This window comes from Homo sapiens, chromosome 6 (assembly GCF_000001405.40).
Source record: "Homo sapiens chromosome 6, GRCh38.p14 Primary Assembly".
In the NCBI taxonomy this organism is placed as follows: Eukaryota; Metazoa; Chordata; class Mammalia; order Primates; family Hominidae; genus Homo; species Homo sapiens.
This window is the reverse complement of record NC_000006.12, coordinates 6,279,804-6,305,734: the sequence shown is the minus strand read 5'-3', so window position 1 is coordinate 6,305,734 and position 25,931 is coordinate 6,279,804. Positions and strand designations below refer to the sequence as shown.

General features: G+C 40.7%; 1 protein-coding gene and 1 long non-coding RNA gene across 2 annotated transcripts in view; one reads left to right on the top strand and one right to left on the bottom strand.

Annotated features, from left to right (window-relative positions):
• The window catches only part of LOC124901253 (uncharacterized), a 44,281-nt gene extending 24,433 nt beyond the window's left edge, over positions 1–19,848 (bottom strand). The window contains exon 1 of the long non-coding RNA XR_007059428.1: positions 19,795–19,848. This is a non-coding gene — a long non-coding RNA (uncharacterized LOC124901253). The remainder of the gene's footprint in view (positions 1–19,794) is intronic.
• Positions 1–25,931, top strand: part of F13A1 (coagulation factor XIII A chain) — a 176,579-nt gene that overhangs the window by 14,928 nt on the left and 135,720 nt on the right. The window contains exon 3 of the mRNA NM_000129.4: positions 196–384. Coding sequence (NP_000120.2) covers positions 196–384 — 189 coding nt within the window. The remainder of the gene's footprint in view (positions 1–195; positions 385–25,931) is intronic.

Genomic DNA, 25,931 nt, shown 5'->3' with positions numbered 1-25,931 from the left:
GCTCTCTTCAAAAACAAGAATGTCACAAGAGGCTGACTCTCGAGACTGTGTTCCCCTACCCCTGCCTCCTACAGAGTTTCATTCAGCAGACCTTGCTACCTGCCTTCTTCAGGGAAAATAATCTTGTTTTTGAGTTTATGTTTAAACTAAAGTTAGTTGATTATTTTCTTCAACCCTTGTTTTTCTTGTTCATAGAGTTTCTTAATGTCACGAGCGTTCACCTGTTCAAGGAGAGATGGGACACTAACAAGGTGGACCACCACACTGACAAGTATGAAAACAACAAGCTGATTGTCCGCAGAGGGCAGTCTTTCTATGTGCAGATTGACTTCAGTCGTCCATATGACCCCAGAAGGGATCTCTTCAGGGTGGAATACGTCATTGGTGAGTGCCATGTGCAAGCTCCAGTCTTGACACCATGGGTTGCATTGTAGAGAGAGGTGGGTACAGGCACAGTTGTGTGATTTCCTAGTGTCATATGTCAACAGTGGCAGGAGCTGGAATGACATCCAGCCCCTGAATTACCCTGTGCTCTAAGACTGGTCTGTATAGTGCCAAATATTGATAACTTGGGCCCACCCAAGGAGAAAATCTCATATAAATAAAAGTAAAACTGGTATAATGTGTTGCTTAACTAAATTATTCTTCCTCAAACAAATGGTTTTGGCATCCTATGATTCTAACTTTTATCTCCATGATTTAATTGGTCTCGTGCTGAAAATGTTTGTAAATCTTAGCATGCAATCCAAGTATGCATTCCGAAAGTTGATTCTGCTCTGATCTAGTCCCATGGGATGGCCCGTGAAAAATATAGTCCAATAAACTTCACTAAACACTTTGTACTTTAATCACCCTTTTTTTTTTTTTTTTTTTTGAGACAGAGTCTTGCTCTGTTGCCCAGGCTGGAACAGTGGTGTGATCTCAGCTCACTGCAACCTCTTCCTCCTAGGTTCAAGCGATTCTGGTGCCTCAGCCTCCAGAGTAGCTGGGACCACAGTTGCACACCATTACGCCCAGCTAATTTTATGTATTTTTGGTAGAGGCAGAGTTTCACCATGTTGTCCAGGCTGGTTTCGCACTCCTAACCTCAAGTTATCCACCCACCTCAGCTTCCCAAAGTGCTGGGATTGCAGGCATGAGACACCATGCCCAGCCTTTAACCTCCTCTTGAAGATTAACGATGCACATTAGCTTCAAAGGTCTGGGGAAGGACCATTTAACTTTGGTCTGGTGCTTCTTAAATTAATTTGATCATGGAACCCTTTTATTAAGTTATAGCTATTAACTTTTGACACATTTTGGTAAACATTTCTATAGGAATTTATAAGATTATCAAGGAAATACATGCACAGAGAAGCAGGGGTGGCACAACATAGGAAATCTGCCCATATAATCCTATGCACAAATTAAAGGAAAAAATTAGGCAATCAAATCAGCAGTCACAGAAAGGTACATGGTAAAATTCAGCATCCAGTTTTAGGAAGAGTTTAAGGGGAAAAATTTAGAAAAAAAACACCTCAATGATAATAAAGATTGCTTACATCAAAACAACAACTTTTGATATCTAAGTGGAAAAAAGTTAACAAATTTCACTGTAATCAGAAATTAGAAAGAAATGCCTGCTATCATCATTCCCTTTTTAAAAAGAAGTACTTTAAAGGTTTTAGTAAATGAACAATGTAAGAGATACATCTGCTATAAATGCTGGAAACTAAGAAGTAAAACTATATATTTGCTAATACTATGATTGTGTATGTAGAAAACCCAACAGATTCAAGGGAAAAAAGCACTGTATTAATAAAACTTTGTAAGTTGGCTAGATAGAAGATAAATATATAAAAATCAATAACTTTTATCTTCCCCAGCACTAAGCACCCAGAAATAGACATAAAAAAATTTCACATGACCAAAACTATAAAATGTAGGACTAAAACCTGAACACGCAACCTATATAAACCAGCTATTAAATCTTAATAAAAAACATGAGAAACCAATGAAAAGTCAAACATGTTCTTGAGTGGGAAGTCTTTCTGTATACATTTTTAGTCTCCCAAGGGGTTGGTCAAAGAATACAAAATTTCAGTTAGATGGAAGGAATGAGTTTTAGTGACCTATTCCACAGCATGGTGACTATAGTTAATAATAATGTATATTTCCAAATTACTAAAAGAGTAGATTTTAAATATTCTCACCACAAAGAAATGGTATGTGAAGGAATGAATATGTTAATTAGCTTGAATTAATCAATCCACAATGTATATTTTGATCAAAACATCACATATTGATCAAAACATCACATCCCAAAACCCCATAAACATATACAATTATGATTGTCAATTTTTAAAAGCCTCCCAAAATTAATATGTAAATTTAATGCATTTCCAATTAGAATCCCAGTGGAGTTTTGAGTTGTCTTTGGCTTTGGTTTTGGTTTTTTGGACTTGTATAAAATAATCTTAAAGTTCATTTGAAATAATAATTACCTGGTGATAACCAAGGAAATCATACAAAGAAATAATAAGTAAGAGTATTTTCTTTCTGAAGCGGCTATCAGAACATACTATGAAAAATATTTAGTAGGACATAATAGAGAATCCAGAAATGGATTTCAGTATATGAGTTAATATGATTGTTGGTTTCATGAAGTAAGAAGACCATATGAGATTTTATCTGTTTGCTTGTTTGTTTTTACATAAATGATGCAGAAATAACTGACTCTCCAACTGGAAGAAAGTTTAAAAATTGACCCTCATCTTGTCCCATATACAGTAGTAAATCTCAGATGGAATGAGTATTAATGTAAAAAAGACAATTTTTTGAGGAAATTTAACAGACTTAACTAAAAACTGGAAACTCTGACACTGTAGAAGAAAGCAAGAACCATGTACAGTTATGTGCCACATAGCAACATTTCAGTCAATGACAGATCATGCATAGGTGATCTTATGAGATTCTGATGGAGCTGAAAAATTCCTGTTACATAGTGATGTCATAGCTATCATAATAGAATAGTGAGATTACTTATTTTTTTAAATGTACTGTAGCCTAAGTTTATAGTGTTTATAAAGTCTACAGTAGCATGCAGTAATGACCTAGGCCTTCGCATTCACTCACCACTCACCCAGGGCTACTTCTGGTCCTGCACGTTCCATTCATGGTAAGTGTCCTATGCAGGTGTACCATTTTTTACTTTTTATATTGTATTTTTACTGTACTTTTTCTATGTTTATATATAAATGTTTCTATGTTTATATATAAATACTTACCATTGTGTTACAATTGCCTGCAGTGCTGTATTCAGTACAGTAAAACACACTATGAGTCTGTAACCTAACAGCAGTAGGCTCTGCCATATAGCCTAGGTGTGTAGTGGGCTGTACCATCTTTGTTTCTATGATGTTCACACAATGACAAAATCACCTGCCTAACAACATATTACATCCCGTGCATGACAACAAATTCACGTTTGAAGCTCTGGACCACAGTTCTGCTGCAATTATGAGGGAAGTTTTATCTCCATCTTTAAAGCCAAATATTTAGGGTGGGGAGAAGAGGAGAGGGAAGCTTCAATTCTGAATTGGACTTGTCTGAGGTTTGAAACACTCTCATAGGCCGTTCAGAAAATAATTATGATAATGGAAGTCTTAGAAAAACTGGTAAGATGAATGTCTTAGATCGGGTTACTAGGAAATAAACTCTGAGAAGAAGACTTGTGCGCAGAAAGTTTACTGGGGAGATCTCTCAGGATCAACATCTGCAAGGGAGTGGAGGAATCACTGTTGGACAGAGGGAGGAGTTGAACTGCAGTGCAGACAGGGCCCCCGTGGATCTCAAGGTGAACTCTAGCTATGGGTTGGATCTTCAGAGTTGTCTCGCCTTGAGCCAAGGGCATGGGCCTGTTATACCTTTTATACCTTGACTGGGGTTACAGCCTTGGTGTAATTGGTTCTCTGTGGCTGAGGGTAACCCCTGAAAGCAACTAAATGAATGAGAATTGTCAGCCACCAACACTCCCAACAATGGGAAAGGTCCAGGCAGCCCACCACAGCATCCATTACAGTGAACATTTTAAGTCCTCTTTTCTTTTTTACACAAGAAATACTATTACTTTTGTTCCCTCAATAAAAGAGGGGGAAAAGCATAGCTAATTTGTTTTTGAGATAAAATCTGTATATTTTTAAACCAACATGTATTCTAAACCTTTCAGAACCCATGATGTGTGCGTTCAGAGTTAAGCTGTATTCTAGTATGTGTGGGCCATTACAGGGCCACATGTATTTGAAGATTTTCTATTATAGGTCACACACATTTGAAGATGTTTCATTGCCCAACCTGTTGTAGATACAAGAAAGGCAAGTGACAAAATTCCACACTCTACTATTTAGTGTAGAAATTAAGCACACTTCGAGGGGCGTGGAAGGACCCATGGTAGAGGATTTATCTTGATCAGAGTCATTTCTGCATCTCACATCATTCAGGAAGTTACATGAGAGCCTCAACTTCATGGCTGCCATAGTTGTAAGACAGGAAGAAAAAAGAACATTGCTGGGGAAATAATTCTCTTAAAATTCAGTGCCTGTTTCAATAGGACTGAATAAAGCCAAGGAAATTAGATTTTAAGGCTAATTGCTATAATGAGAAGAGACAAGTATAGAACGTGAACTAGAAATGAAATTAAGTGCAAAGGTTTCTATATACAGGTGCACCTCAATTTCCAGAAACTCAGAAGGTAAAAGTGATGGTTTAAAAACGAAAAAGAATATAATTTCTATTCATTTTTAAAAATCTGGCAACACCATTTCAAGAGAAGATCCATTTTAGCTAACGTTTTACAATCAGCTAAATGTCTAAACATTTGAGATATCATTTACTATTAAAAGTGAACCAAAATGTAACATAAATTAAAAAAAAAAACAGACGAGAATAAATACTTTGTTAAAAATAAAGGGCACTTAAAAGAATCTCGGGGGGAGGAGCCAAGATGGCCGAATAGGAACAGCTCAGGTCTACAGCTCCCAGCCTGAGCGACCCAGAAGACAGTGATTTCTGCATTTCCATCTGAGGTATGGGGTTCATCTCACTAGGGAGTGCCGCACAGTGGGCACAAGTCAGTGGGTGCGTGCACTGTGCGCGAGCCGAAGCAGGGCGAGGCATTGCCTCACTCAGGAAGTGCAAGGGGTCAGGGAGTTCCCTTTCCGAGTCAAAGAAAGGGGTGACGGACGGCACCTGGAAAATGGGGTCACTCCCACCCCAATACTGCACTTTTCCGACAGGCTTAAAAAACGGCGCATCAGGAGATTATATCCCGCACCTGGATCAGAGGGTCCTACGCCCACGGAGTCTCGCTGATTGCTGGCACAGCAGTCTGAGATCAAACTGCAAGGCGGCAGAGAGGCTGGGGGAGGGGCGCCCGCCATTGCCCAGGCTTGCTTACTGAAACAAAGCAGCCTGGAAGCTCGAACTGGGTGGAGCCCACCACAGCTCAAGGAGGCCAGCCTGCCTCTGTAGGCTCCACCTCAGGGCACAGACAAACAAAAAGACAGCAGTAACCTCTGCACACTTAAATGTCCCTGTCTGACAGCTTTGAAGAGAGCAGTGGTTCTCCCAGCACACAGCTGGAGATCTGAGAACAGGCAGACTGCCTCCTCAAGTGGGTCCCTGACCCCTGACCCCCAAGCAGCCTAACTGGGAGGCACCCCCCAGCAGGGGCACACTGACACTTCACACGGCAGGGTACTCCAACAGACCTGCAGCTGAGTGTCCTGTCTGTTAGAAGGAAAACTGACAAACAGAAAGGACATCCACACCAAAAACCCATCTGTACATCACCATCATCAAAGACCAAAAGTAGATAAAACCACAAAGATGGGGAAAAAACAGAACAGAAAAACTGGAAACTCTAAAAAGCAGACCGCCTCTCCTCCTCCAAAGAAATGAAGTTCCTCACCAGCAACGGAACAAAGCTGGATGGAGAATGACTTTGACGAGCTGAGAGAAGAAGGCTTCAGACGATCAAATTACTCTGAGCTACGGGAGGACATTCAAACCAAAGGCAAAGAAGTTGAAAACTTTGAAAAAAATTTAGAAGAATGTATAACTAGAATAACCAATACAGAGAAGTGCTTAAAGGAGCTGATGGAGCTGAAAAGCAAGGCTCGAGAACTACGTGAAGAATGCAGAAGCCTCAGGAGCCGATGCGATCAACTGGAAGAAAGGGTATCAGCGATGGAAGATGAAATGAACGAAATGAAGTGAGAAGGGAAGTTTAGAGAAAAAAGAATAAAAAGAAATGAGCAAAGCCTCTAAGAAATATGGGACTATGTGAAAAGACCAAATCTACGTCTGATTGGTGTACCTGAAAGTGATGGGGAGAATGGAACCAAGTTGGAAAACACTCTGCAGGATATTATCCAGGAGAACTTCCCCAATCTAGCAAGGCAGGCCAACGTTCAGATTCAGGAAATACAGAGAACGCCACAAAGATACTCCTCGAGAAGAGCAACTCCAAGACACATAATTGTCAGATTCACCAAAGTTGAAATGAAGGAAAAAATGTTAAGGGCAGCCAGAGAGAAAGGTTGGGTTACCCTCAAAGGGAAGCCCATCAGACTAACAGCGGATCTCTCGGCAGAAACCCTACAAGCCAGAAGAGAGTGGGGGCCAATATTCAACATTCTTAAAGAAAAGAATTTTCAACCCCGAATTTCATATCCAGCCAAACTAAGCTTCATAAGTGAAGGAGAAATAAAATACGTTACAGACAAGCAAATGCTAAGAGATTTTGTCACCACCAGGCCTGCCCTAAAAGAGCTCCTGAAGGAAGCGCTAAACATGGAAAGGAACAACCAGTACCAGCCACTGCAAAATCATGCCAAAATGTAAAGACCATCAAGACTAGGAAGAAACTCCATCAACTAATGAGCAAAATCACCAGCTAACATCATAATGACAGGATCAAATTCACACATAACAATATTAACTTTGAATGTAAATGGACTAAATGCTCCAATTAAAAGACACAGACTGGCAAATTGGATAAAGAGTCAAGACCCATCAGTGTGCTGTATTCAGGAAACCCATCTCACATGCAGAGACACACATAGGCTCAAGATAAAAGGATGGAGGAAGATCTACCAAGCAAATGGAAAACAAAAAAAAGCAGGGGTTGCAATCCTAGTCTCTGATAAAACAGACTTCAAACCAACAAAGATCAAAAGAGACAAAGAAGGCCATTACATAATGGTAAAGGGATCAATTCAACAAGAAGAGCTAACTCTCCTAAATTTATATGCACCCAATACAGGAGCACCAAGATTCATAAAGCAAGTCCTGAGTGACCTACAAAGAGACTTAGACTCCCACACATTAATAATGGGAGGCTTTAACACCCCACTGTCAACATTAGACAGATCAACGAGACAGAAAGTCAACAAGGATACCCAGGAATTGAACTCAGCTCTGCACCAAGCGGACCTAATAGACATCTACAGAACTCTCCACCCCAAATCAACAGAATATACATTTTTTTCAGCACCACACCACACCTATTCCAAAATTGACCACATACTGGGAAGTAAAGCTCTCCTCAGCAAATGTAAAAGAACAGAAATTATAACAAACTATCTCTCAGACCACAGTGCAATCAAACTAGAACTCAGGATTAAGAATCTCACTCAAAACGGCTCAACTACATGGAAACTGAACAACTTGCCCCTGAATGACTACTGGATACATAATGAAATGAAGGCAGAAATAAAGATGTTCTTTGAAACCAACGAGAACAAAGACACAACACACCAGAATCTCAGGGACGCATTCAAAGCAGTGTGTAGAGGGAAATTTATAGCACTAAATGCCCACAAGAGAAAGCAGGAAAGATCCAAAATTGACACCCTAACATCACAATTAAAGGAACTAGAAAAGCAAGAGCAAACACATTCAAAAGCTAGCAGAAGGCAAGAAATAACTAAAATCAGAGCAGAACTGAAGGAAATAGAGACACAAAAAACCCTTCAAAAAATTAATGAATCCAGGAGCTGGTTTTTTGAAAGGATCAACAAAATTGATAGACCGCTAACAAGACTAATAAAGAAAAAAAGAGAGAAGAATCAAATAGACACAATAAAAAATGATAAAGGGGATATCACCACCGATCCCACAGAAATACAAACTACCATCAGAGAATACTACAAACACCTCTATGCAAATAAACTAGAAAATCTAGAAGAAATGGATAAATTTCTGGACACATACACTCTCCCAAGACTAAACCAGGAAGAAGTTGAATCTCTGAATAGACCAATAACAGGATCTGAAATTGTGGCAATGATCAATAGCTTACCAACCAAAAAGAGTCCAGGACCAGATGGATTCACAGCCAAATTCTACCAGAGGTACAAGGAGGAACTGGTACCATTCCTTCTGAAACTATTCCAATCAATAGAAAAAGAGGGAATCCTCCCTAAGTCATTTCATGAGGCCAGCATCATCCTGATACCAAAGCCGGGCAGAGACACAACCAAAAAAGAGAATTTTAGACCAATATCTTTGATGAACATTGATGCAAAAATCCTCAGTAAAATACTGGCAAACCGAATCCAGCAGCACATCAAAAAGCTTATCCACCATGATCAAGTGGGCTTCATCCCTGGGATGCAAGGCTGGTTCAATATACGCAAATCAATAAATGTAATCCAGCATATAAACAGAACCAAAGACAAAAACCACATGATTATCTCAATAGATGCAGAAAAGGCCTTTGACAAAATTCAACAACCCTTCATGCTAAAAACTCTCAATAAATTAGGTATTGATGGGATGTATTTCAAAATAATAAGAGCTATCTATGACAAACCCACAGCCAATATCATACTGAATGGGCCAAAACTGGAAGCATTCCCTTTGAAAACTGGCACAAGACAGGGATGCCCTCTCTCACCACTCCTATTCAACATAGTGTTGGAAGTTCTGGCCAGGGCAATTAGGCAGGAGAAGGAAATAAAGGGTATTCAATTAGGAGAAGAGGAAGTCAAATTGTCCCTGTTTGCAGACGACATGATTGTATATCTAGAAAACCCCATTGTCTCAGCCCAAAAGCTCCTTAAGCTGATAAGCAACTTCAGCAAAGTCTCAGGATACAAAATCAATGTACAAAAATCACAAGCATTCTTATACACCAGCAACAGACAAACAGAGAGCCAAATCATGAGTGAATTCCCATTCACAATTGCTTCAAAGAGAATAAAATACCTAGGAATCCAACTTACAAGGGATGTGAAGGACCTCTTCAAGGAGAACTACAAACCACTGCTCAAGGAAATAAAAGAGGATACAAACAAATGGAAGAACATTCCATGCTCATGGGTAGGAAGAATCAATATCGTGAAAATGGCCATACTGCCCAAGGTAATTTACAGATTCAATGCCATCCCCATCAAGCTACCAGTGACTTTCTTCACAGAATTGGAAAAAACTACTTTAAAGTTCACATGGAACCAAAAAAGAGCCCGCATTGCCAAATCAATCCTAAGCCAAAAGAACAAAGCTGGAGGCATCACACTACCTGACTTCAAACTATACTACAAGGCTACAGTAACCAAAACAGCATAGTACTGGTACCAAAACAGAGATATAGATCAATGGAACAGAACAGAGCCCTCAGAAATAATGCCACATATCTACAACTATCTGATCTTTGACAAACCTGAGAAAAACAAGCAATGGGGAAAGGATTCCCTATTTAATAAATGGTGCTGGGAAAACTGGCTAGCCATATGTAGAAAGCTGAAATTGGATCCCTTCCTTACAGCTTATACAAAAATCAATTCAAGATGGATTAAAGACTTAAACGTTAGACCTAAAACCATAAAAACCCTAGAAGAAAACCTAGGCATTACCATTCAGGACATAGGCATGGGCAAGGACTTCATGTCTAAAACACCAAAAGCAATGGCAACAAAAGCCAAAATTGACAAATGGGATCTAATTAAACTCAAGAGCTTCTGCACAGCAAAAGAAACTACCATCAGAGTGAACAGGCAACCTACAGAATGGGAGAAAATTTTTGCAACCTACTCATCTGACAAAGGGCTAATATCCAGAATCTACAATGAACTCAAACAAATTTACAAGAAAAAAACAAACAACCCCATCAAAAAGTGGGCGAAGGATATGAACAGACACTTCTCAAAAGAAGACATTTATGCAGCCAAAAAACACATGAAAAAATGCTCACCATCACTGGCCATCAGAGAAATGCAAATCAAAACCACAATGAGATGCCATCTCACACCAGTTAGAATGGCAATCATTAAAAAGTCAGGAAACAACAGGTGCTGGAGAGGATGTGGAGAAATAGGAACAATTTTACACTGTTGGTGGGACTGTAAACTAGTTCAACCATTGTGGAAGTCAGTGTGGCAATTCCTCAGAGATCTAGAACTAGAAATACCATTTGACCCAGCCATCCCATTACTGGGTATATACCCAAAGGACTATAAATCATGCTGCTATAAAGACACATGCACACGTATGTTTATTGCGGCATTATTCACAATAGCAAAGACTTGGAACCAACCCAAATATCCAACAATGATAGACTGGATTAAGAAAATGTGGCACATATACACCATGGAATACTATGCAGCCATAAAAAAGGATGAGTTCATGTCCTTTGTAGGGACATGGATGAAATTGGAAATCATCATTCTCAGTAAACTATCGCAAGAACAAAAAACCAAACACCGCATATTCTCACTCACAGGTGGGAATTGAACAATGAGAACACATGGACACAGGAAGGGGAACATCACACTCTGGGGCCTGTTGTGGGGTGGGGGGAGGGGGGAGGGATAGCATTGGGAGATATACCTAATGCTGGATGACGAGTTAGTGGGTGCAGCGCACCACCATGGCACATGTATACACATGTAACTAACCTGCACATTGTGCACATGTACCCTAAAACTTAAAGTATTATAATAATAAATAAATAAATTTTTAAAAAAAGACTAAAAAAAAAAGAATCTCTACCAGTACATCTTTAAGAGTGTTTATAACAAGAGACTTACCAACAAAGATTGACTTACTGTCACTCACTATATTAGTCAGTGTTCTCTTGAGGGACAGACCTAATAGGATATATATATGTGTGTGTGTGTGTTTGTACATATACGTGTGTGTATATATATATATGTGTGTGTGTGTGTGTGAGTGTTGTGTGTATATACATATAAAGGGGAGTTTATTTAAGTATTAATTTATATGGTCACAAGGTCCCACAATAGGCTGTCTGCAAGCTGAGGAGCAATGAGAGCCAGTCCAAGTCCCAAAACTGAAGAACTTGGAGTCTGATGTTCAAAGGCAGGAAGCATCCAGCATGGGAGAAAGATGTAGGCTGGGAGGCTAGGCCCATCTCTCCTTTTCAAGTTTTTCTGCCTGCTTTATATTCACTGGAAGCTGATTAGCTTGTGCCCACCAGATTAAGGGTGGATCTGCCTTCCCCAGCCCACTGACTCAAATGTTAATCTCTTTTGGCAACACCTAGGATTAATACTTTGTATCCTTCCATCCAATCAAGTTGACAGTATTAACCATCACACTCACTATATACTTAAAAAAACTTTTTTTTTAGGTTCGGGGGTAAATGTGCAGGTTTGTTATATAGGTAAAAACATAGCTGTTTCATAAAGCAAGCTATTATTATATTTAAAATACAGAAAAAATAACTTTATACTTAGTTGCTTCCAATTTGCATTCAGTTTTTTTGTTGAGGTTGCTCTCTCATTCCCTGTGCCTGTATAGATGAGCTGAGATATGTTAGTACACTGGAGTTTCCCTATGTTGCTGTTCTCAGAACCTAGGTCATGGGATTTATTTATGTGATTCTGCCTTCTAACCAATTTCCTTCTCTCCCTCCCTCCCTCCCTCCCTCCCTCCCTCCCTCCCTCCCTCTCTCTCTCACTCCCTCCATTCCTTCCTTCCTCCCTCCCTTCCTCCCTTCCTCCCTTCTTTCCTTCTTCCTTCTTTCTTTCTAAATATTTAAATAAATAGGGCTCTTGGATGGTGTGCTGGGCTCTGAGTAGAGAAGGTGAGCAGGAGAGCTACTGCCTTACCTGGCCACGGCTTGATGAGCTGTGCTGCAGGGGTTCTTTGTGCTTTGATAACTGCGTTCATGAGTTGCTGGCAGAGCACAGCTATCTCTGTGTTAGGTGGGAGGTGTTAATGAATCTGAGGAGGTGGGTGTGGCTGAAAAATGCCCTGGGAGTCTGCAGGGCCTTCTCTCTCTCTCACCTCTGAGCCTGCAGCCTCGACAAATCATGAAAGGCAAGGAGGGGAGTGGTAATCACAGGTTTTACTAACCTGTGGCTGAGACTGTGAAAGCTTGGGAGCAGCTTCTGGTGTTAATTTGCTGTTACTTTGACATGGGCCCCTGCTTTTTTGATACCCAGTTGAGGGTGAAATCCCAAGCTGTATTTCTTACCAGGTCTCCCCCTCAAAACGGCAGAGGTTTCACTCCCTGAGGAGCCCTCCGAAGTGACAGTAGGGTCCATGAGCAAGTTTCTTTCTCCCTGGAGTTCAACCACAGGAACCTGGGGGTGTCCAGGTCAGCGCTTTGGAGATTCTCCTGACCTTTCCCTCAATTCTATGATGGCCCTCACAGATTCAAGCTTCACATTTCTGGTTACAGCAGAAAGATGAGGAGAAGGATGGCATTAGCATGCCCCACCCCACTTATCAGGAAAACAAAAGCTTTCCCAGGCACTTCTGGCAATCGTTTATGTTTCATTTGCTACCCTTAGCTGTAAGGCAAGCTGTGAAAGTATTCCCTTTTTCCAGTCTCTTCAGAGGAGAGGGATGGGGCAGAGCTGAAAGTGGGTGCTGGTGGACCCGCAGTCATGTGTGCTGGGCATCCCCCCTAGCTGGGCCATCCTGTGAGTATAAAAGTGCTGTCCTAATGCTGGCAGCCTTGAGGCAGGTTGTTCATCACCCGCTCAAGCATTTCTAGGACTGGGTCAACTGCACATGTTCTGCATCACAAACCCTATAAAACATGGAAATGTCATCAGCAACACTTTAATATCTTTCTTTCACTTATTTCTTGAGTAGCATTTATGGAAAGCCAGCGGCGGTGTTGGATGGTGTTTTCAGGGTGGGAGTGACATGGATGATTCTCATTTGAGATAGCTTGCTCTGGCCCACTTCAGGGAATCAGGGTAATTCAGGATAGGAGAGGAGATGATCAGAAGAGAGAGGATGAGAACCGGGGTTATGGCTGCAGTTGTAGACATGGACAGGAGTGACAGGGTTTGAGAAATATTTAGGAGGCAAAATCTGCAGGACTTGTGTTGGGGAGTCTGTGAGGGGTGGAAGGGAGGAGGGTCAAGGTCGACTTCCAGGTGGCTGGCTTATGTGACTATGATGACAGATGCTAGCACTTCCAAATGAGATAAAGAATGCCTGGAATTCCAGAGGGAAAAAATCGAGTGTGGAAAATGCTAATGGAGGTAGTAGCTTCATTGATAACTCATTGGCACTGTTGCTGTGCAGAGGTGCTGTATGCCTCCCATTTAATTGTTCAAGCAGCCCTCTGGGCATTGGACTATGGCCATCTCCATTTTTCCCATGAGATAATGGTTGAAAGGATTAAGTAATTTACCCAGGTCACACCTGGAAAGTGCTGGGACCTCAATTTGGACCCAAGCAGCCTCTTCTACTTACAATGCTTACTACCTCCACCAAGGGAGCCTCCACCAAGGAGATGGTGGAGGTATGAATATGCTTCTGTTTGAATTGATGAGTGTGAATTACTTGAGGGACTTTCAGGTAAACCTGTCCAATAGATAATATGAGTCTGAAGCTTCGGGAGGAGGTTTGGGTTGGACAGGAGATAATTTGGATATCATACACACGTGGGCAAGCTCACTCAGAAAAAGGTAAATCAAGTCAGCAGTGGACTGAGGCTTAAGCCCTGGGGAAAACAACTTCTAAGGCATCAGTCCAGAAACTAGAGCCCCTGGAGGAGACAAAGACCAAATGAGCAGATAAACAGAAGGAAAATAAGGGGGTTGCAGTGTCACTCAATCCACGAGAGTTGTGTGTTTCAAGAGGAAAGCATGACCAATGTTATTAAATATAACTAGGAGATGCAGTGAGATAGGAACTTCCCACTGGAGTCAACAGTTGGGGGACACTGGTTGAACTCGGGTAGATTCCAAATTTTAATGGTCTAAAAGTCAAGGAGATGTGAGGAAATGGGTGTAGTCAATTTGGATGAATCTTTAAAGAAATTTGAAGGAGAGGAAAAGAAAATTTGGGTGGTAACTAGAGAGGAATGTGGGTGAGAGGAGGGGTGTTTCAATTTCAGTATTTGTTTCAGGATTGGAGGGACTGGAACATGTAGCAGGCAGAGAGGGAAGAATCAGTCAAGGAAGAATTCTGAAGATTCAGGAGGGACTGGAGGAGAAGCATAGAGGACAGGGGCACGGGTGAGGGGCTGAGTAGGAAGGAAAATTCCTCATCTTCCAAGGTTGTCGAGAAAGAGGTGAAGGAGGGTATGACTGCCGTAGGTGGAGAAGTATGAACTAAGCCTCATGCCTGACAATCTCAAGTTATTTAAAGATGTAGGTGGTGAGCAGGTGCTATAGGGTCTTAGAGGGGCAGATGAGTACCCTTACATCTGAAAACATCATCCATATCCTTTAAGACTATGTCTTCCTATGGATTTTGTTTCAGAAAGTCCAGGTAAAATCATCATGCTGATGTGTGATTTTCACATACATAACATACTTTCTCTATTGAGAAATGTCTTGCCCCAAACTGTGCAGCTTGTAACGTGTAGATAACTATTTCTTAGCCTATACTCTTTCAACTATTTTGTGCTGCATTTTGGTGAAAATAGACAGCCTATTTCATCATTTTGAAGCAACATTTATATAGAATGTCATTTCAGATTTTTGCTCCTATGGGTTTCTGCATTGATGATCAACGTGTTTATTTTTAAGCATCTCTGTGAAGTGACTAATAATGGCATCTAAGAAAGTAGGACAGTGTTTCCCAGAGTGTGTTCTCTATGAACACCTGTCATGTGAGATTCTCCTTGGGGGAAAAAAGTTCCATCATCAAATACAGTTGGATCATGCTGTGTTTTGTGTCTCTTCTCATAGAGGCCCAAGGCACATTAATATATAAAAGGCTATGAGTAGACACGTAGTCAAAAAATGAATCTTGTTTAGCCCAATAATTCCCAAAATTGTTCTACTATAAACACTACCCTACCACATTTTTATTTTTATAATACCATTGAATAAGGTGCAGAACTCATTCCAGGAAATGCTGAACTATAGAGGCATATTACCTCTATTCCATACAACACTGAGGCAGGTGGCTGACAGAACTTGAACAGATTTGTAGTCTATGTGTTGTGATAACTTTATATCCATTTTTTCTTTTTGACACTTAAGATTTTGTGCAAACATTGAAATAACTATTAATTTGGCATTCATATTTAGTAACTTTTCAAAAATAATTGTTAAGAGTATGTTTTTATATTTATTTTTCAGATATTTATTTGGCTTCTTTCAACCATAAAGCCTATTTATTTTCTTTTTGAATGTGCTTATTGAACTCTTATTTAATACTTTGTATGTGCAAAGCACCATATTGGGATTAGAGTAGTAAGATATGTTCATCCCTTGCCTCCAGAGGATTTGTTGTCCAGAGGGGACAGTCTGAGTAGGAAAGGCTGTGTTCAATGCCAACCTTTTGAACAAAATGCTTAGAAGCTACTTTGGAGGGAGTGACTGATGGCAAGAATAGTTGAAAGAATCCTCCAGAAAGTGCTATTTGAGGCGGGTCTCAAAAAACGAATAGAAATTGACCCAGGGGAATGGAAATTGTATACATTCTAGAAAAAAAAAAATAGAAAAGTTCAGTGGAGCATGACATTTTGGAAGCACACTGATGTCTTTGTATGACTTGATAAGAAGTTTAGATGTAATTCTATAAACAGCCAGAAGCCTCTGTAGTAGCATTTTAGGTAGAGTATTAAGATCTGATTTTTTTCTACTTTTTAGATTACTATAGCAGAAGTGTGGAAGATAAATTGGAGGACCGAGATTTTGTTAGGGACATTAGTAAGAGACTCAAGGGGGAAAAAAATCTCACTAATAAATGATAGGATAAATGGATGCTGCATGAGTTTGTATGATTTTTCCCCTCCTTTTTTTCCCCCAAAGGAACTTATGTTTACTTCTATAACTAGAAGTAGTAAAATGTGTGTGTGCGTGTGTGTGTGTGTGTGTGTATTTGCATAGTAAAATGGGACTCACCTGTAGTGAAGTAACACACTGTGGTCTGAGGACTAACAATATGCCCCAGTGGCTGGCCCTCTGCCATTTGTAGGCCATCTCAGGGATGACAGCTCACGTGATTAAAGGGCTAAATGAAGCCCTTTTTGGTGGGGAAAGAGGCGGCTTGGACTCAAGGCAGTGCCCAGTCAGAACCCGAGCTCCACCATGGATAGCAGTGACAGAATCACTTTACCCCACCCCCCATCACATTACTGTTTCCTCACCTGCAAATAAGGACTATACTATTTATTTTAAACAGCCATTTATGGGTTAAAGGAGATAATGTATAGGAAACCACTTTTTTATTCTCACAATAAACTGGGAGGCAGGGAAGGTAGAAATAAAACTTATTAAAAACATGGAAACCAATGTTCACAGGGATTAAGTGATTTACCCCAGGTTGTGGGCAAAGGATCTGAGCAAACATTTCTCAAAAGAAGACACCAAAATGGCCAACTGGCTTATGGAAGAATGCTCAACACCTCTAATCATCAGGGAAACGCAAATTAAAACCACAATGAGGTGCCACCTCATACCTGTTAGAATGGTTACTACCAAAGAGAATGATAACAAGCCTTGGCAAGAATGCAGGGAATAGAGAACCCTATACACTATTAGTGGGAATGTAAATTAAGGCAGCTGTTTTGGAAAGTCGTGTGGCAGTTCCTCACAAAACTAGCAATAGAACTAACGTGATTCAGCAATCCCACTTCTGGGTATGTATCTAAAGAAAATTGAAATCAGGATGTTGAAAAGATGTATGTAGTCTCATGTTCATTTCAGCATCACTCACAATAACCAAGATATGAAAGCAACCTAACCAATGGATAAAGAAAATGTGGTATATAGACACAATGGAGTACTATACAGCCCTTAGAAGAAGGAAAATTCTGCCATTCTCAACAAGGGTAGAACTGGAGAGCACTATGCTAACTGAAATAAGCCAGGCACAGAAAGATGAATACTGTATGATCTCACTTATATGTGGAATCTGAAAAAGTCAATCTCAGAAACACAGTAGAAAGTTGTTTACCAGAGGCTGGGGCTTGGGGGCAAGGAATGAGGAAAAAGAAGATGTTGATCAATGGGTACAAAGTCTCAGTTAGACTGAAAGAATAAGTTTTAGTGATCTACTGCATGGCTTGGTGACCACAGTTTAAAATAATGTATTGTATATTTCAAAATTGCTAAAAGAATAGATTTTTAATGTCTTCACCACAGTTACCTTTCTTTTTTCCATGTACATAGAAAAGAAAGGTAACTATGTAAGGTAATAAACATGTGAATTAGCTGATTGAATCTTTCTACAATGTATACATAGATCAAAACTTCACATTGTATCCCAATAGATTCCCCATAAGTGATTGTCTATTTTTTAAAAAACATCTACACACGCACAAAGAAAATGCTTCCAAAAGCAAATAGGAGGGCATTGCTCTCATGTCTTTTGTCTCCTGGTGGCAAAGACAACCATCACTGAACCTCCCAACAGAAATACCCAGTCTCCTTGTTACATCCATTCTGACAGCTTCATTAGTCACATAGGGGCTCTGACAATCCACAGGCCAAGTTCTGCCTGGAATTATTTGCCCATAGTTCTAGCTGAAGTGACAGAAACAGTTTAATCTCAAAGTAGGTGGGATTGCCATCCATATTTTGGTGCCAGAGACCTTACCATGTGCTTCCTCAGCCCTGCCCTGTCACCCACATCATGTCTGCAGAGCTGGAGTTTCCCAGTGAAGCTTATGGTCCCTAGGGTAATAGAGTCGCTGATGTCTTTGTCACATTAAGGGTGCCACACAGAGCACTTATGAAGGGCCATGGGTATCGGAATGAGAACACTCAGAACATCCACAAACGCTTCCTCCCTGACTGCCTCCTGTGCTTTCTCCCCTCTTTCCTATTCCCCTAATTTGCCTTCACCCTTGCTCCTATGTCTGTTTCTCTCTGTCTTCACACTTGTATCTTATGATGACCTCTTTCACTTACAAGAATTCATAAACGTGGCTCATTTGCACCCACATAATTGAAACTGTACTCCACCAGAAAGCGCTGGTCTGAACTCAGGGAGGACGGACTGTGGGCATTCCCTGGCTTTTCCACATAAATTCTAAGACATTCTTGCAGCATATGAAGCAAGAGGTGAAAAAGGTGGGGGAAAATATTTAATGAAAACAAATGTGCCCACTGCGATAACTTGCTCTTGAGTCTCTAATCTAAAAAGAGAGCATGCAAGTGGAATTACAGCCCACTAAAGAAAGGATCCAAATGGACTAAATATTCTTCATCTTTGCCCTCCAGTTACTCCAGAAGCATGTTGTAAGGATTAATGAGGGAATAACTGGAAGCTCTTTGAACTGCTTCGTGATAGTTCCTTCCTAATAAGATGACCCAATTACCAGCCTTATTTTCAATATTGCAACTATGTAGGAAAGCTAAATTCTTATGGTATTCCTTAAGGAAGGATAACCTTCATAAAATGCTACTATAACAGCAGCCAGAGCCAGACAGGTATTACACAACCATAAGACAGGCTATAAATAGCTGTACCTCTCTCTTGCTACCCTCTTCACCCTCTTTCTTCTCAGTATCTTGGCCTCTTTTCTGATCTTTTCTCTTCTTTCTTAAGATTTCTATTACTTTCATCCCGGCCTGTCTGTTTCTGTCTTGCTCTTCCTCTCTGTCTGTCTCTCATGCATACATACACACTGTCCTGTGGATGCACGTCTAGGTGTTAGTGGCAGCAAATGTACTGGAGTCCCACAGCACCAAAGTATGTTAGCAGCAGTGAATCCACATGGATCTACAGCAGCCTCAATTCTTGCCTCCTCATAAGGCAGGAGAGACTGGGGCAAGTTTTAGAGCAGGAGTGAAAGTTTATTCAAAAGCTTTAGAACAGGAATGAAAGGAAAGAAAATACACTTGGAAAAGGGCCAAGTGGGTAACTTGAAAGACAAGTGTACAGTTTGACTTTGACTTAGGGTTTTTGTTCGTTTTTTTGAGACAGACTCTTGCTCTGTCACCCAGGCTGGAGAGAAGTGGCGCGATCTCAGCTTACTGCAACCTCCACTTCCCAGGTTCAAGTGATTCTCCTGCCTCAGCCTCTCCAGTAGCTGGGATTACAGGCACTTGCCACAACACACGGCTAATTTTTGTATTTTTAATGGAGATGAGGTTTCACCATGTTGACCAGGCTGGTCTCAAACTCCTTACCTCAAATAATCCATCTGAAAGTGCTGAGATGACAGGCATGAGCCACCGCACCTGACTGACTTCAGGTTTTACCTGTTGGCATACTTCTGGGGTCTTGCGTCCCTACTCCTGTGATTCTTCCCTTAAGTGGTGTGTCTGCGTGTGCAGTGGCCTGCTAGCGCTTAGAAGCGGAGCATGCACAGTGCGTTTACTAGTGTTGTACTCGTGACCACTTGATGCATTTTTTCCTTACCAGTTGAGTGTCCCTGGAGGAAGGCCACATACTGGTTAAATTCCGCCATTTTGGCTCTTAGTGCGCATGCCTGAGCCCACTCACCCAACTGCTGAGGTTTTATTGGGAAGCTGCTGATCACCAGTTTCAGGTATTTCTGTTTATTGGGAGACTGCCCTTCCCTAGCACTGGCTGGGACCAATTATTATTTTAGAAGGACAGTTTAACAATGACCGTCACCTGATGGTCGCCTGCCATTCCTGGTGTGTGCGTAGTGGGGGAAGCCCTCTCCTCCCCTACTCATGCCTGACTAGGTACCTACTGTAGCATAGGTATTTACTCATTTGTTAGAGAAGTAATGGGAGTTACCCTTGGGAGGTGGGTCTGACCGTTTTTGTGTCTGTTCATGAGCATTTCTTTAGCCTTCAGGAAGCTGGGGCTGGATGTGCTAAATGTGCTGCCCATCTCTGGCTAAAGCCTAGCTTAGCCATTGGGATGCTCCTTCTCTGCACTGTTGGAGGTTTTGCTTTGGCTTCTTCAACTTCCTTGTCTATTTCCTTTCCAATTCTGTTTACAAATCTCTATAACATCTTGTCCCATGTCTGGTTCAGTGAATTTGTGATGCAGAAACCTCTGCTGTGTCCAGCAGTTTGTGACACCCCAGAGGGGGTTTAAGAGGAATGAAAGACCCCATCTCTGTCTTTTTTCTTTTTGAGTTGGAGTCTCGCTCTGGTGCCCATGCCGGAGTGCAGTGGCGTGATCTCAGCTCACTGCAACCTCTGCCTCCCAGGTTCAAGTGATTCTCTTGCCTCAGCCTCCTGAGTAGCTGGGATTACAGGTGCCCGCCACCAGGCCTAGCTAATTTATTTTTTGTATTTTTAGTAGAAACGGGATTTCACCATGTTGGCCAGGCTGGTTTCAAACTTTTGACCATCTCTGTCTTTAAAGAGCTTACTGTAGTTGGAGTGAGAGGAATTCCACAAACAATGAACACAGTCAGAGAGTATATAATTGAGCTATACTGATACAGTTGCCTTCCAGAAATGTGTGACACGACTGGCCGAAGTGACTCTGGGCAGTCAAGAGCAAGAGGATCAGCTAGAGTTGAAGGGTAAAATCTCAGAAAAGGGCAGGGAGGTCTTGAGATGACTCTTGAGGAACTGGGAGCATTCCAAGAGGGCTACGAAGTATGTACCCTCCATGCAAGGAGGACGGCATTCTTGGTAGTCCAGGAGCTTATTGTTCTGCTGATGCAAACAAGCTTCTAGTGAGAAGGAAATATTTCCCTGAATCAAGTGTCTGGCTGCATTTGGAGTTTGGACACCACTCAGTTTCAAGGCTCTGGAGTTGTAAGAAGCTTGCAGCGGCAGGAAAGGCCCATCAGGCAGGCCCATGAGGAATGTGCTCCCCTCATGCAATCAGTCTGCTGTTATTGCTTGGTTAGTGCCCAGGGTGGACAGGGGCCTTTTGTATTAAAGCAATTAATTTTACAAAAAGAGGAAGAAACCCTTATGTTTCTGTGACTAAAATGACGGAAATGAAGTAGTGGAGACAGCTGCAGTGGCATTTTCCATCAAACAGCTTTTCTATTTGTGCAACATATTTCTAAGTGATAGAAAATGACACACTCTCTCCATTACTTCACTTCCATCATTTCCATCATTTCAACCTTTTCTAACTTTCATATTTGTGAAACAAATTGCTTTAAACATGTCAAAGACATTTGAGTGGAGTGTTAGCCAAATTTTAAAAATAAAGATGATTCATAAAGACAGTGCTTGTGTTTATAGCCATCAAGACAAAATTTCAGGAAAAAAAATCACAGTCCTAATTACTGAAGGCGCATGCATAAGGTAATCATATTTGGAAGTTAGAAACAAATCTCTTTTTGCTCTCTGCCTCTTTTCCCTTAGATTTATATGGGTTGGTAAACCTGGCCTTGTGGTACTCAATCATCCTTGCTTCAGTGATTCACTAAGTAACCCCTTGCGAGTTGATTTCTCCAGCCTCTGGATTTATTTGCATTGTTATGCAATGGGTGGAACACCTCACTGCTGTTCTGCTCCTCAGCAGTTAGTTCTATCTTCTCTTACAGCTGATGCTTCTTGAGGGGAAAGGCCACCTTGTGTCTTTTGTTAGAGATAGGATGTTGCCAAGGGTAGGGCAACCAGGAGGGTATCCCTTAGCATGTAACTTTGAAGAATCAAGATTGGTGCTCCACACAAAGTTCGTTCAAAAATGTTTCTCTTAAGAAACTTAAAAACCTACATCGCTGATGGAAAAAAAAAAGGAAGGACATGAATATACAGGATAATTGTACAAAAATTGGGTACATGTATTGTTGTTGTTTAAAAGTTTTTTTTAAATTTCGAAACAAACTCCACTTTACAGAAAATTTACAAGACAAACCATACAAAGAACTGTTTTTTCCCAGAACCGTTATTAGAGTTGTCAATCTGATGTCTCGTCATCCCTGAATACTTTAGTGTGTACTACCTATGAGCAAAGACATTCTTCTGTGCAACCATCAAAATAAGGAAATTAACACTGATATTTGATGGTAGTCTAATCTTTAGAACACATTTGAGTTTTTCTACTTGTTCAGTAATGTACCTTATAGCAACAGAAGCTAGTCCAGGATCACATGTTATATTTAGATGTCATGTCTCATGTCTTTAGTTTTCTTTAATTTGGAACAGATTCATAATCTTGCTTTGACTTTCATGATTTGACACTTTTGAACATTACAAGGCAGTAATTTTTAGAATGCCCCTCCATTTGGGTTTGACTGATGTTTCCTCACTTGATGTTAAAATCAAGTCACGTATCTTTCACAGGAAGATTGCAGAAATGATGCTGTGTTCTTCTTGGTGCCTCCTACCTGGTTGCACATAACTTTTACAGATCCCATTACTGATGATGTTAACTTAACCACTCGATTAAGGTGGTGGCACAGGTTGAGTGCCCAGGAAGTAGACTGTGAAATTAGCATGCAAGCTGTTGATTAGGGAGTGCTGTTGGGATCAACTCCTGTGGAAGGAAGCAGTATTAGGTAGTGGGGGAGTCAGGCTGCAATGCACTCACACCAAAGGCCTCAGATGACCCTCTGTGAAACTCTGGAGCTGAGATAGCTCTTCATAGTGCTCCTGAGATGAGGACAAAGGGATGGGGCTTTGTTCCTCCATAGTGATCAGTCACTGGATGTGAGCCACCCCTGGAATGAGGTGTGACCCTGGATGAGGCAGTTTTCTTCTGCTAAGGCAACTCCCAAGGAGGCCTGAACCACCAAGGACTATTTTCTGTCATCACTCCCAGCAGCTGAGGATAAGCCTGTCGGTCATTTCCGAAGGTGTCTTGGGCAGAACATCACAGAGCCCAACACAGAGGTGACTGTTGGGGTTACCCCTGCAAAGTTATTCTTTGTTCCTTTTATAGTTAATAAGTACTTTATAGGAAATTATCTTGAGACTATAAAATCCCATTTATTACCAAAATTATTATTGATAGAATGATTGATTAATACCTGGATGAATCCTGATTTTCTCTTTTAATTAAATAGGTTACTTAAATCTTTTATTATCATTAAATAACTTAATGTTCAAACAGCCTCGATTTTGCCAGTTGGACTGTTCCAACTAGTTTCAGTATCCTTACTTCCTCATAGTCTGTTACAGTAAGATGTTTCAGGCCCGTTTTGAGTTTTCCCTGCACCTACCCTCAAAATAACCATTTATCTAAGGAGAAACATTTCTCCAAAGAACTCCACTTCATTTTAATAGAAAGTAGTATTTAGAAACCAAGGTCTAGATCCTAGGTGTGCTCATTAGTATTTTACCTCCTTTCAGTATTTCCCAATTCAACCTAGGTATATCTCACTTACCATTCTTTTCACCTCTCTGTCATACCTATGGTGACCCCTGATTCATGACTCTTGTCCTCCATACATTTTTTTTTTTTTTTTTTTTTTTGAGACGGAGTCTCACTCTGTCGCCCAGGCTGGAGTGCAGTGGCATGATCTCGGCTCACTGAAAGCTCTGCCTCCCGGGTTCATACCATTTTCCTGCCTCAGCCTCCTGGGTAGCTGGGGACTACAGGCGCCCGCCACCAGGCCTGGCTAATTTATTGTATTTTTAGTAGAGGCGGGGTTTCACCAAGTTCGCCAGGATGGTCTCGATCTCCTGACCTCGTGATCTGCCTGCCTTGGCCTCCCAAGGTGCTAGGATTACAGGCGTGAGCCACCAAGCCCGGCCGTCCTCCATACATTTTTTATCTTTGAGCTTGTCATTTACTGAGTCTTCACAATGTGCCAACAGTGTGCTCTGTGTTTGCATTAGTTTTATGTTGCTGTTGTAACAAAATATCATAATCTTAGTGGCTTAAAACAACAAACATTTATTATTTTGATATAAGGTATAATGATATATAAAAGGTGTAATGACATCTTAACTGAGCTCCTCCTACCTAGTGTCGTCCCTTAGGGAGGAATCAGTGGAATTCAGATCCTGATTATTCTGGCTCTAAATGGTCCAGAATAATCAGGATCCGATGGCTGGTCCTGGTATACCTGGTCTGACACTGGGCCTGGGATCTGGAAAGGTCTTAGAAGAAATTACATTGAGACTGTAAAATCCCCTGAGGAAGAAGACAAGGTCTTCAGAATGTGAAGTAAAGAGCATGCCCTCTCCCAATTTTATGCAATGAGTGAAATTCTATTATGGCAATTTATTCATTTAAGATATGAAGGAATTATTTTCTACAAAGTGTAAATATGGAGGTAAGAAGAAGTATTAGCACTCTTCTTAGACATTAACATTTTAGCAAAATGAATTTATTAGACTCTTGCCATTAACTGTTAGCTGAGACCAGTTCCCTTAGAACGAGTTGCCAAATGACCGTTTTCATGGGGAGCCATGCGATGTTCAATGACTAGGTGCTGCCAGGGAAGGCTGGCCCAGCTGAGTCCCAAAGTGAGGATTCTCCAGCCACTCCGCAAACAGTATGAAACTCCAGGGTACATGCTTAAAGCACTCTGGAATTTAAGTAGTGGCAGATGTTTTAGAAGAAATTCCACTGTGCCACTTTCCAAAGCACTGGAATTAGGTGTTATTTACGGAAGGCAATATTGTACCCCTTCAAGCCCACAAATAAAGAGGTACTCAGCAGTGACCTTTATTAAAGGCAAATCAGTGGGGAACACATGACCAGAGGAAATGAGAGAAGATTGGAATATATTCTAAGGCCTTAAAAAGATGTCAAGAACAATTGTGTTCCCCCACAAGGCATCATTAGGCAAGGATGGTCCAACCTCAATACGGTTTCTTTACATCCCTGTGTTTCAGCTACATCCGTGGTCTCCTGTATTGTTTATCTATGTCACTTGCAAAAAACTAGGCTTGAATACAGTTTTTTAAAAGTGATGCTTTTAAATATAAGCGGTAATCAACTTATGAAGGAACAATGAACATCTATAGTAAGCAAATAAACATCCACACATAAATATACATATGAATAAACAAAATGCAAATGTGTGTCATTCTTTCTGCCAGTCCTTTGAGTTCCATATTTGTTGTCATGTAGTTAATAAAGTCGTTGACTTCCCCCACGGTCTACTACTCTTGCTCTGTTATTCTCATGTGGCATTAGTATTATGAATTAAATTACAGTCTAAACTTGCGTATTTAATTATAAACCCATTGAGCACAGGAAATGTATCATATCTCAGCACATTCACCACCCTGTCTCCTCCAGATTAAGTGGTATCACTCTGCTCATCATAAGCACTAGTAAACATCTGTTTAAATAAATGTTTATTGAGTATGTATTGTAAATATCCACTTGTAGGTTAATACTAGATGGACTGTACCATACTCCTTAGAATGTTTTCTATGTTGATTTTTGTTTCTCCAGTAATTGCTTTAATCTCTGGCAATGCAAACTCATTTAACACTTGCTTTTATATATTGCATTCATATATACTCCAAAGACAAACAAATGCTTTATCAGAATTACCAGTGATTTATTCTCATTATTGTTGCCATTCAATTATTAACAGGAATTGACTGTTTTAGCAAAAATGTCATCAGTTGGCCTGTTTTGTTTGGAAGACATTCAGCTAAACTTTTTCCTTTGTTGGCTAATGACACTTTATTTTTTAAGTC